This window comes from Homo sapiens, chromosome 3, assembly GCF_000001405.40.
Source record: "Homo sapiens chromosome 3, GRCh38.p14 Primary Assembly".
Classification (NCBI taxonomy): Eukaryota; Metazoa; Chordata; class Mammalia; order Primates; family Hominidae; genus Homo; species Homo sapiens.
In genome coordinates, this window is record NC_000003.12 from 46305689 (window position 1) to 46319813 (window position 14125).

Below are 14125 nucleotides of genomic sequence, written 5' to 3' on the forward strand. Positions count from 1 at the left end.
TTGTAGTCATTGCTCTATTTTAGTATCAAGTAATTCCTTCATTTGTTTCTCCAGAATAACAAAATACAGTAATTTTAAAGTCTTTTTTCAATTAATTCATCATTAATTTCATCTGGAGTAAATCTGAATCAGGATGATTCTGGACACAACTATCACAAAAGCTAACCAAAATTAATAGATTAAACAAAAAGGGGAGTTATTGTTTCACATAACAAAACATCCTGAGTTAAGATAATAAGACAATAATCAATCATAAGCAATATTTTAAGATAAGAAATCTACATGCGTTGCTTATTTATATCCTATAGCTAATAAATCATAATGCCCTTTTAATTACAAGTGTCTATACCTTCAGAAATAAAAAAAAAAATTTAAATTTTAGTACCAAGTACAATAAATTATAAAGTAACAGAACCAATTTAGCAAATCAGACTTTTGATACTTAAAGTGATATTTCATAGTAATTATAGTTATATCTAAAGTCTAGGTATCTTGAAAATCTCTGTTAAAAACACACTGCAAGAATGATTTTTTATGATAAAAGAAAAAGGTGGTCACAATTAGCAAAATTTTCTCATCCAGTCTTTACCAGACAAAAATGTAGGACCAATATTCTTGTGAATGTTCTCTGCTTAATACATTATTGGAATTGACTTTTTAATTACCTTTATGGTTTAGAATTTTGTCTGCCCTCTACAGCTGCAGAGAGGTGGTATATTTTAAATTGGGGTGTCTATATGTTCGCTGCTAGTATATAGAAGCACACCTGATCTTTTAAAAAACAATTTTTTTGAGACAAAGTCTCGCCCAAGCTGGAGTACAGTGGCACGATCTTGGCTCACTGCAGCCTCCCTCTCCCCAGTTCAAGTGATTCTTGTGTGTCAGCCTCCCCAGTAGCTGAGATTACAGGCACATGCCACCAAGCCCAGCTAATTTTTACAGTTTTAGTAGAGATGGGGTTTTGCCATGTTGGCCAGGCTGGTCTCGAACTCCTGGCCTCAAGTGATCCACCTGCCTCAGACTCCCAAAGTCCTGGGTTTATAAGTATGAGCCATGGTGCCCAGCCATAACTGATCTTTATTTGCTTGTCTATAGTTCTCTATTATTGTACTGACTTTCTCTGGTTTTGGTGTCAAGGTAATTCTAGATATAAAAAATTACAAGTATTCCTTCCTTTTCTATTTTCTTGGAGAGATTACATAGCACTGGTTTCCCCCAGTGAAACCATATAGACCTGGAGATTCCTTTTTTGGGAATTTCAAGAATTATGGATTCCATTTCCTTAATAGTTAGAGAGAATATTAAAATTTTCTGTGTCACACGGGGTGAGTTAAGGTAGTTTGTGTTTTTCAAAGAATTGGTCCATTTCATTGAAGTTGTGAAATTTATATGTGTAGAGTTGTCCATAGTGTTCCCTTATTTTCCTTTTGATTTCTTTGGGGTCTGTAATGATACCCCTTGTTTAATTCCTGATATTGGTAATTTGTGTCTTCTTGCTTTTTCTCTTTGTCAGTCTTACTAGAGGCTGTCAATGTTAGTAATCTTTTAGAAGAACAAGCTCGTATTTTCCTGATTTTCTTCGTCATTTTTCTCTTTTCAGCTTCATTGATTTCTGCTCTTATTTTTATTATTTTCTTGTTTTTCTTGCTTTGAGTTTATTTAGCTCTTCTTTTCCCAGCTTCTTGAGGGAGCAAAATAACTGATAGGAGATTTTTTCCTCTTTCCCAATATACACATTTAGTGCTATAAATTTCTCTCTCAGCATTGCTTTAGCAGTGTCTCACAGATTTGGGTATGTTGTATTTTCTTTTTTTTTTTTTTTTTTTTTTTTTGAGACGGAATCTCACTCTGTCACCCAGGCTGCAGTGGCATGATCTCAGTTCACTGCAAGCTCCTCCTCCCAGGTTCACGCCATTCTCCTGCCTCAGCCTCCCGAGTAGCTGGGACTACAGGTGCCCGCCACCACGCCCGGCTAATTTTTTGTATTTTTTAGTAGAGATGGGGTTTCACCATGTTAGCCAGGATGGTTTGATCTCCTGACCTCGTGATCCACCCTCCTTGGCCTCCCAAAGTGCTGGGATTACAGGCGTGAGCCACTGCACCCAGCCATATTTTCTTTTTAATTCAGTTCATTGTATTTTTAAATTTCCCTTAAGACTTTCTTTTTGGTGCATAGATTATTTATAAGTGTACCGTGTAGTTTCCAAATGTTTGTTGATATTTCTGTTTTCTTTTTTGGGTGGAGGGAGGGGGACAGAGTCTCATTCTGTCACCCAGGCTGGAGTGCAGTGGCACAATCTTGGCTTACTGCAACCTCCACCTCCTGGATTCAAGTGATTCTCCTGCTTCAGCTTCCTAAGTAGCTGGGACTACAGGCACGCACCACCATGCCCGGCTGATTTTTGTGGGTTTTGGCAGAGATGGGGTTTTCACCATGTTAGTCAGGCTGGTCTTGAACTCCTGACCTCAAGTGATCTACCTGTCTCGGCCTCCCAGAGTGCTGGGATTACAGGTGTGAGCCACTGTGTCCAAACTGTTATCTTTTTATTATTGATTTTTATTTTGATTCCATTGTTATCTGAGAACACACCCTGTGTTATTTTAACTCTTTCAAAGAGTTGAGGCTTGTTTTATTGCCTAGAACATAATCAACCTGGGTAAATAACCTGTGGATGCTTATAAAGAATATGTATTCTACTGTCATTTTGCTGAAATGTTCTTTAAACGTCAATGAGATCCTGTTGGTTGATGATGTTATTAAGTTCTATAATCTTATAATTTTTTTATCTAATTGTTTTATCAGTAGTTGAGAGAAGGATTTTGAAGTCTCCAGCTATAGTTGTTGATTTATCTCTTACTCCTTTTATTTTTTTTCCATGTTTTCTTCACATATTTCACAACTTTAATGTTTGGTGCACACACATTTAAGATTTCTATGTCTTCTTGGGAGAGTGACATTTTTATCCATTTGTAATGTCCCTCTCTGCCCCTGTTATTTTTCTTTGCTCTGAAGTCTTCTTTATGTGATATTGAGACAGGCACCACTATTTCTTTTGTTTTTTTTTTCTTTAATGCCCCCACACCTATTTTTTGAGTAATATTTGCATGATATATCTTTTTCCATCCTTTTATTTTTGATCTACATATATCATTATTTTGAAGTGAGATTCTTGTAGACAGCATATAGCTGAGTCACATTTTAAAATCCATACTACCAATCTTTGTTTTTAAATAGGTGCACTTAGATCATTTACATTTAAAGTAATTATTGACATATTAGGGCTTATGTCTGCCATTTATTTTTAATTCCTGTTTGTTCTCTCTGTTTTTCATTTCTGTTTTTCTTCTGCCTTTCTGTCGGATATTAGAGCATTTTTTTAGAATTCCATTTTGATTTATCCATGTTTTTTTACCTTTTAAGTTGTTGCTCTGGGTATTATGTGACAAATACATTAATTATCACAGTCTACTGGTACCAACTTTCACCCATTCAAAGGATGTACAGAAGCCTTATCTCCCTATCCTTCTAGCCTATATACTGTCTTCAATATTTCCTCTACACACATTTCAGACTATCAGTGTTACAATTTTTGTTTCAACCAGCAAATACAATTTAGAAAGCTCATGAGCTGGAAGAAAATGTACTGCACTTACCTATAATTTTAGTCTTTTTGCTGTTCTTGCCTCCTTCTTCATGTTTTGTCACTTCCCTTTGGTTCAGAGAACTCCCTTTAGACATTCTCTTATGATAGTCTTATTTGCTAGTGACAAATCCTTTCTTTCTCTTCATCTGATAATGTCTTGATTTTCCTTGCATTCTTGAAGGATATTTTCACTGGATATAGGATTCTAGATTGATGGTTCTTTTCTTGCAGCAATTAAAAAATGTTGTGCCACTAACTTTGGGCCTTATGATTTCCAATGAAAAATTCACTGTCATTTAAGCTGCTTGTCCTCTACTGTGTTTCTCTCTGGCTTTCAATATTTTTTTGTTCTCTATCTTTAGTTTTCAGAGGTTTGATTATAATATGTCTTGGTGTGGATTTCTTTGGGTTTATCTTGTTTGGGATACACTCAGCTTCTTTAATTTGTAAGCTTATGTCTTTTGCCAAATTTATAAAGTTTTTACCCATTATTACTCTAAATATCTTTTTAGCCTCATTTTCTTTTTTTTCTCCTTGTGGGACTCATAACATAAATTTTAGATCTTTTGTTGTAATTCCACAGGCTCCTGAGGCTCTGTTCATTTTTTTTATTATTTATTTAGTTAGTTAGTTAGTTATTTTTGAAACAGAGTCTTGTTCTGTCGCCCAGGCTGGAATGCAGTGGCACGATCTAGGCTCACTGCAACCTCCACTTCCTGGGTTCAAGTGATTCTCCTGCTTCAGCCTCCTGAGTAGCTGGGAATACAGGCACACACCACCATGCCTGGCTAATTTTTGTGTTTTTAGTAGAGATGGGTTTCACCACGTTGGTCAGGCTGGTCTCAAATTCCTGGCCCTGAGTGATCTGCCCGCCTTGGCCTCCCAAAGTGCTGGGATTACAGGCGCGGGCCACCACGCCTGGCCATAATTTTTTTTTTAAATTTTCTGTCTGTTGTTCAGATTAGGTCATTTCTATTGTTCATTCTTCCAGTTCACTGATTCTTTTCTCTGTCTCCTCCATTCTGCTCTTGAACCCATCCAGTCAGTTTTCTTCTAACATTTAAGCAAAATGTTTTATTGACTTTAGGTAAGCTGGGAATAATTGCCTACATTTATGCTTTAAGGCATTTTACCTCATTGTAAAAAAAAAAAAAAACAAAACACACAAAGATAAATGTTAGATACTTCTGGCTTTCATGTGTTTGAGGCTCTGGGCTGAGAGAATGTTCAGCCCTTTCCTATAATATGTGCTTCTGTATTACAACTCATCAACCAAAGGTGTATGTTCCAATTGTTGCCATTAACAAGTAGAAGTTTGTTTCTAGCCAGAAGCAAACTTCTTTGCAGAATTGATGATGACAGCACTAGCCAACCAACTAATCTACTGAAGGACTGGTGATATTGGCTTGTAAGAACCAGTAACTACAGCCTGGGGCCTGACTTCTTCTATGAAACCCTCGGAAGACTTCACTTATATTTGGTATCCAGCTTTCAGTTTGTTCTTGGCAGCCTGGACATTGAAAAGCTTTTCTTGAGCAATTATTTCCACTTGGTTATAGGTAGCCTTGATAACATCTCCAGCAGCTGCAGCCTGGAAGACAATGTACATCCTGAAGAGTCCAAAATTGGAGTAACTAGCATTAAAAACAGAAATAGCAAGTGGCTGGTGAATTGCCTTGGCAATAGCCTGCTATAGATAGCTGGTGGCATCACTGTGCCCCTTGACATATGGTGTCCCTCTTGATATGCTGAAAAACACTAAATGCATTTGCTGTGCCCTTCTTGTGGCAGCACTTTCTGCTACAAGAGCAAGCATGGACAAGACTGTCTCCATTTTGTTCCTGAATTTCACCTCCAGAGTATTTGGCTTTTGTACCAGACAAAAGAAACCCACCCCTCCTGTTGAGAAACTATTCAGCAACTTGCTTTAGAACAGGGTGACTCACACCAAGTCCAACCAAGCCATTCTTGCACTTGTGAAGTGGTTCTAAACATAGTAATGTAACTCTTCCCATGTCACTTTTCCAATCCTATAGCCAGGACAATACAAGGAATTAGCCAAGGCATCCCAATAAGCTTCAGTATGCAAATTTTCAATGACATGTGCCTGTGGATTCTGAAAATTCACAGATCTGTCTATCCTTAGCTGAGACTGAAGGCATCTACTTCCCAATGACCAAATCCTGGTGCTGTGGCGACACTGAGCAGGAACTCCATTAGAATATCAATATCACTCTGCAGACATTCCATGATGTAAGCTATGTTTTCTCTTGTTGCAATTACACTTAATTTACCACCAGCTGCTTCAATGTCATGGGCTATCTTGAAAAATGAAGCTCCTTTCGTAGTCAAACTGGATGCAAGACACAGCAAATGAGAAGTTACTAAATTGTTGGAGTCCTCATAGCTACTGCCTGCTTTAATGAACAAACCAATTCTTGATGCAGGGCATAGTTTTCCAAAGGAGAAATCATAAAACCATTTGGAAATTTGATGATCTCAAGGTCCTGATGATGTGGAGCCACTCCTATGGGGGTAGCTGTGGCTTTAACTTTGGGGGCAACTTTGAGGGAATAAAGTCTCAAAAAGAGGGAATAAAGTCTCAAGATTGTTCGTGACCCATAGTAACTTCTGGCTTAAAGGACCATTCGGCAAGTTTTTAAATGTATTTTCTATAATTTCCATGTAGTTCTTTATATTTTCTATTTCTTATTTAAAACCTCTATTTTAGCTCGTTTCCTTTGACACTGCTCTGGCAGGGAAAGGGGTGGCACTGCCTCATTACTGCCAGGTAGGGGTAGAAGTCCATTATCCACTTGGTCTCCATTGATACCCAAAGTGGGGAGAGGCTCCTGTTACTGCTGGTGAGGGTGGGAGTCCCCCCACTAAGTTTCTGCTAATACTGTCCTGGTGGCTTGCTACTATTCCCATGAAGCCTCCACTGATACTACATTACTTTTGGGTGGTGGCAAATGTCCTGCCTCTCCACTAGCCCTCCTGCTCTAAAACAACCCGAGTAGGGAGTGGGAAGGAAGCTTTGTTACTGGTAGGTGGGAGCTGAAGTCCAGACTTGCCACATTGTCCCACTGATGCTACAGGGAGGAGGAAGCGGGCCACATTACTGCCTGATAGGGATGAAAGCCCCAGCTCCCTACCTGGCCTTCGCTGATACCAGCCTGCTACAGGAGTGAAGAGAGATTTGAAGGCCTCAATATAGCCTGTCGAGGGTGGAAGTCTTGCTCCCAATGGGCCTTTAGCAGCATGGGTGGGTGTGGGGCCATAGCTGTCTCTGTACTGCTTGGCTAGAGTGGAGTATTTGAGGTCCAAAAGTTTTCTGTCTTTCTAGCCCTTTGGTTAGAAAGAGCAGACTTTTGTTGGAAGTATTTTTTTGTGTTTACCTGTTGTATTTCCAGGTTCCTAGCTTCTCCAGCACAGTCTGGGATGTGTGAGACACAGAGAAAATCCAGTGATGTTACTACCGTATGGTTTCTTGGGTCCCAACGTCTCTAGCTAATCTGCTCCACCTTTTGGAGTTTTCTTATTTGTTTTAGATCAGGGATTTAGTCATATTTAATAGGAGAAATATGGAAAAATACTTCTACTCTATCTTCCTGGAAGTTCCTGTTTATTTTTTATGTCCTTTTCCTCTGGCTAGACCGTAAGAGACTTACGAAACAAACACTTACACATTCTACTAAACTCAATGTCCAAAGTTTGTGAACTTCTTGAATATTGCTTGTTCATTTCCACCCCCAGTCACTGACTGAATCTCCCTGCTGTCTGTCTACAATGCCAATGAGCTTCTGGTTAACTTCTTCTCATGCATGCTTAGGCAACAACTTCCCAGTTTTACTACACTTGCCCATCCCTAGTTTTGTTGTTGCTTAATCCCTTGGCCTAGTGCCACCATACTCCTCCAGCAGAGCAACCAATTCTTACATTATAGGACAGCACATATCCACTAAAAACAGTTCATGCCACACCAACCACATTTCCCTTTGTCAACAAAATTACTTGATAGATAATTCCAGGAATGCCTGATGAAGCTGATTGACAACAAGATATTTGGCAGACTCTCTGCTGCCTATACATACCTTAGCATGTGGAACTCAAGTAATGAGAGGTCCATTTAATTGGATTGAATTGGGCTGGATAGGATTGGATTGAATCCTGTGGGATGGCTAGGCTAAATTAGAAATGAAGACTAGTTTAACAGCAGTATCCAAGGATAGTTGACTAATGAGTTAATTTTACTCTCAAAGACAGTCTTTAGTAGTAAGCTGTAATGCATTATATCAAACTATTTTCCAGTCAATGATTTATAAGTTACTTGAATAAGGATGCTAAAGATGTGCCTTATTGAAATGGCAATTAGCACAAAGTTGGGAATGAAATCTAATTAGTTAAATAACAGAATCACATAAAAAAGGACTTGAATAAATGTAGCATCCTACCATGTTCCTGGATAGAAAGACTGCTATCGTAAAGATATTCATTCTCCTCAGGTTAAATTATAAACTCAATGCAATTCAACAGGATTTTAAAAAACTAGACAAAGTGATTCCAAGTTTACGTGGAAAATAAAATGTGAGGGACCAAACAATATTTGAAAAAGAAAGAGAATAAAATCTCATCCTTCCAGATACCACAATGTATTATAAAGCAATAGTAATTAACATGAGGGCAGAAATGAGCAAGCAAGTGAACAAAATAAGACAGATAGTCACAGGAAACTCATATATTTATAGGTGCTTTGCGTATAATGAAGATGGTCCTTCAAATCAGTTGGGAAAAGATGGGTTATTCAATAAATGGTGTTGGGTAAAATTGGTTATACATTGGTGAGAAATAAAGTGAAACTCCTACTTTGTATCATATGCAAAAAATAGATTCCAGACAGATGAAATATTTAAATGTAAAAAATAAAATTCTAAAACTACTAGAAAAAAAAGAAGAATATTTTTATTCCTTTGAAATAGAAAAGGTCTTACTAAGCAAAACACAGAAGTAATAAATGAATAAATGAAGACAAATATGATAAAAATAAGTTAAAAATATAAGCAATCTTTCTTTGTTTTTTTTTCACCTTTCCTAGAAAAAAATATATAGGCAACTTGTTAAGCAAGGTAGATTACAAGAAAATATTTACAACATTTGACAGGCCACAGATTATTATCCAGCCTCATCTGATAAGAAAACTTCAACATAAAGATATCTGTTTTTTTTCTTATAAGGTTCCTCAAAGTGAGCCAATCACTTCTTAAGCTGAACAAAAAACAAAACAGAAGTGATCTTTTCCAATAATGAAAACAAACATTGACAGAGCAGCTGTAGGATCCTTTCAGGCAAATTATGAAAAGGTGCCCTTTCTCAGAAACCACAGTTACCATTCAGCTTTGTGACCAGAGGTTTGACTGTACCCTAGTCCCTACTAGCAACCCAACCACATAACCAACTTCAAAGGTCCTGAATGACTGTGTTGTACTTAATGGCAGATGATCTATCTCCCATTTTTGTCCTAAGGATTTTCCAAGATAATATATTTCTGCATTTGTTTTGCTTTTACTTCACTCCAAATTGAAATCTATTTGTGGGATAAGACTAAAGAAATGCTTATAGGAAAATTGATAGCACCAAATTCCTATCTTAAAAAATGAAAAAGGTTTCAAATCAATGACCTCAGCTTTTACTTTAAGAAAATAGAAAAAGCAGGATAAGCTAAAGCCAAAGTAAACAGAAGAAAGGAAATTATAAAGATAAGAGCAGAAATCAATGAATAGAAAACAAAAGAAAAAAATCAAACCAAACAGCTGATTCTTTAAGCAGATCTATAAAATTGATAAAACTCTAGCCAGATTGATCAAGTAAAAAAGAGAGAAGACACAAATTACCAGTATTAAGAATGAGAGAGGCAATATCACTACAGATCCTACAGATATAAAAAGTATAAGGGCATACTTTGAATAATTTTATGACTATAAATTAGGCAACTTAGATAAAACAAATTTCTTGAAAGACACAAACAACCAAAGCTCACCTAAAATACTCACAAATTGAATAGTCTTATAGCTATTACAAAATTGAGGCCAGGCGCAGTGGCTCAAGCCTTTAATCCCAGCACTTTGGGAGGGCTAGGAAGGCGGATCACGAGGTCAGGAGTTTGAGACCAGCCTGACTAACATGGTGAAACCCTGTCTCTACTAAAAGTACAAAAATTAGCCAGGCTTGGTGGTGCGTGCCTGTAATCCCATCTACTCAGGAGACTGAGGCAGGAGAATTGCTTGAACCTGGGAGGCAAAGTTGTGGTGAGCCGAGATCGCGCCACTGCACTTCAGCCTGGGCAACAGAACAAGACTCCGTCTCAAAAAAAAAAAAAAAAAAAAAAATTGAAATTATAGTTAAAAGTCTTCCCACAAAGCAAACTCTAGACCCAGATGGCTTCAATGGTAAATTCTACTGGACAATCAAACAGGAAACAGTAATAATTCTCCACAATGTCTTTCATAAAATTGATGCGGAGGAGATACTCTCCAACTCATTCTATGAAACTAGCATTACCCTGATACCAAAATCATACAGAGACAGTGTAGGAAAACAACAGATCAGTATCCTTCATGAACATAAATGAAGTACAATGCAGTCTTATGCATAAATCAGAGCTTCATTGTTCTACAGATAAGGTAATGTAGGATTGTTGGTTGCCCCTCCAGGTCTGTTAAATTCACCTCCTTCCCCAGAGAGCATCCTTCTTAAGGACAGGGAGCCTCAATATGTCAGTCCTCACAGCACCTCCCTCAGTCTTCAGCACTTACCAGCTCATCACCACAACCGATACCACATTGGATAATTTCATGAATTACTTTAGAGCAAATGCAAGAGAAAAAATGGATTTTTATATAGGAGAAGAAGGAGGAAATTCTTGTGGATTTGGTACAGAATAGGGCCAAGGGAAAATTACAGATGTAAAAAGAAAAGTGTGTGAAATAGTATCCTTAGTGCTCACAAATACAATGATTTCATTGTTTTTAAAAATAAAAAATGACAAATGTCTAATGCTTGGTGGTAATGCTTTATTGAATGTGTGTTATACACTGGTTCCTCATTCCTGAAGTTAGAAATAATACCTTCCTCTTTTCATTTGGTTATGTTTGCTGAAACAAATCAAAGGCTGAGATTGAAACACATGCTACTTCAGGTGGATGACCTTACTACTAAGCTCATCACAACAGCACTTACAGCTGAAGACCCCAGAGTCCTACCTAACTTTTGTCACAACCCAGATTTTGGCCATGTAGTTCTGGGCCTTACCATTAAAGCAGACAGAAGTCAGAGGAATGACTCCTTTCCACTTGAAGTGAGCTGCAGGCTTCTAGGAAAGGCAAGATGCACATTTCCCTCCTGTGGAGCATAAAGCCTTTGTAATTCAGGACTTAGGACCCATATGGATTTGAAATATTATGACATTGGAGCTGGAGTGGTTGGGGACAACACCAGTAGTGTTATAGGCCATGGAATGTCAAAAGAACATGGAACCCTGTTAAAATCATTAAACATCAAAACTCTCCCCTCCTCTGGTGATATGGTTTGGCTGTGTCCCCATCCAAATCTCATCTTGAACTCCCATGTGTTGTGGGAGGCACCCAGTGGGAGGTAATTGAATCATGGGGGCAGGTCTTTCCCATGCTGTTTTCACGATACTGAATAAGTCTCACAAGATCTGATGGTTTTATAAAGGGGAGCTTCCCTGCACAAGCTCTCTTCTCTTGTCTGCCACCATGTGAGACATGCCTTTCACCTTCCGCCATGATTGTGAGGCCTCCCCAACCATGTGGAACTTTTAAGTTCATTAAACCTCTTCCTTTTGTAAATTGCTCAGTCTCAAATATGTCTTTATCAGCAACGTGAAAACAGACTATCTGATTTTCTGTGGGATGTGGATTATGACCATGGACAGAGCATAACTGGGACAGAGCTGGAAAAAATATTAATTAGGTGCTTAAAAATATTTGTTAGAACTATCTTCATGAATGAGAATCAATCCTGTTTCCATGGTGATTCACCAGGCATCAATTCCAAGCATCCATGAATCAGAAAAGTCCTATCTTCTCTTAGTTATCATCCAGGACTCCAAGGAACCATAATTAGCCAACCTGTTCACATTTCCTTTTCATTCACTAGCCTCGAAGTTTCCAGGGGACAGGGACTCTGTCCTATTCATTTCTGTAACCTTACCACCTGACCCAGAATAGCTGTTCCCTGAAGATTTGGTGGATTATAAATGTGGATGTCTTATTTCTTTGAAAGTGTGAGCTTCAGGTACTGATCACGTTATTCCAATTATCAATTTAGTATCTTTCTTCACCATTAAACTGTGAAATTCTTGAGGGAAGAACCTATGACTGATTTATCTCTGTAAACTCATGCCACCAGTATTCAAAATCACACCTAGCACATAGTAAACACTCAATGTTTGTTGAATGACTGAAGGAATGGATGAAAATGAACCTCCTTGCTTCTGACCAGTGGATGAGTTGCTTGGCCGTGTTCCTACAGCCTAGAGCTCATCCCCTAAAGCATCTGAAGTTACCCATTAGTGCAATGGTTCTTGAACGCTGGTGTTGATCAGAATCATCTGGATGCCCAGGTTCTCTGAAATAAGATAGGGTCTAGGCATTTGTATTTTTACCAAGGAGGTGTGATGGAGTCAGATGCAAGAAGGCTAGTTGAAGAAACCACATGAGAGTTTAGTGTAGTGTATTAGAAGACTGGTTTGGCTCTGTCGCTAGTGGCTACATCATCTTGCTCAAGTCATGCCAGTCTCAGGACCTCATTCAGTCTCTTCAGCTGTAATATGGGTGGGTTGCACCACATAACCAGAAAGATCCCTTCCAGCTCTACCCACTTACAACATGGTCAAATTTGGTCTGATTTTTTAAATCGTAGTACAATATATATGACATAAAATTCACCATTTTAGCCACTTTAAATGTACAATTCTGTAGCATTAACTACATTCACATTGTTGTGCAACCATCACTACCGTCTACTTCCAGAACTCTTCATCTTGCAAAACTGAACCTCTGTTGTCATTAGTCACTAACTATTCCTCTCCCCCCCTCCTTCTAGGCCCTGGCAATCACCATTCTACTTTCTGTCGCTATGAATTTGACTACTCTAGGTAACTTATATAAGTGGAATCACAGCATTTGCCCTATTATGACTGGTTTAGTTGACTTAGCACAACCTCCTAAGGCTCAACCACATTTTAGCATGTGTCAGAATTTTCTTTGTTTTTAAGGCTGAATAATATTCTGTTGTATCTGTAAATAACATCTTTATTCATTTGTCCATCAACAGACTGTTGAGTTCCTCCCATCTTTTGACTATTGTGAAAAATGCTGCTATGAACCTGAGTGTACAGACATCTGGTTGAGTACTGCTTTCAATTCATTGTTTATATGGATCATATGGTAATTTTATGTTTAATTTTTTTGGAACTGCTACATTGTTTTCCACAGTGTACATCATTTTACATTTCCATCAGCAATGCACAAAGGTTCCAATTTCTCCACATTCTTACCAACATTTTTTATTTTCTGTTTCTTATTTATTTGTTTATTTATTCTGAGACAGAGTCTCACTCTGTCACCTAGGCTGGAGTGCAGCAGGGTGATCTCAGCTCACTGCAACCTCTGCCTCCCATGTTCAAGTGATTCTCCTCCCTCAGCCTCCCAAGTAAATGGAATTACAGGTGCCCACCACCACGCCCAGGTAATTTTTGCATTTTTTTTAGTAGTGATGAGGTTTCACCATGTTGGTCAGGCTGGTCTTGAACTCCTGACCTCAAGTGATCCACCCGCCTCAGCCTCCCAAAGTGCTGGGATTACAGGTATGAACCACTGCACCCAGGCCATTTTTTGCTTTTTAGATAATAGTCATCCTAGTGGGTATGAAGTGGTATTTCATTGTGGTTTTGATTTATATTTCCCTAATGATCAGTGATATTGAGCATCTTTCAAGTGCTTATTGGCCATTTTCTTCTTTGGAGAAATGTCTATGCAAGTCCTTTGCTCATTTTTTAATCCAGTTGCTTTTTGTTATTCTTTTTGATTTGAAAGTGTTCTTTATACCTCTTGTATACTAATCCCTTATCAGATATGATTTATAAATATTTTCTTCTTTTCCATGGATTGCCCTTTTTACTCTGTTGATAGTGTTCTTTGATACAAAATAATTTTTAATTTGAATGAAGCCCAATTAATCTATTTTTGTTTCTTTTGTTGCCTGTGCTTTTGGTGTCCTATCCAAGAAACTGTTGCCAAATCCAATGTCATAAAGCTTTTTCCCATGCTTCCTTCTAAGAGTTTTGTAGTTACAGCTCTTGTATTTAGGTATTTGACTATTTTGAGTTAATTTTTGTACATCGTATAAAATAAGAATCCAATTTTTATTTTATTTTACTTTTTGTATGTGGATATCCA

General features: G+C 37.9%; 1 pseudogene; it reads right to left on the reverse strand.

Annotated features, from left to right (window-relative positions):
- Positions 4700-6288, reverse strand: UQCRC2P1 (ubiquinol-cytochrome c reductase core protein 2 pseudogene 1; annotated as a pseudogene).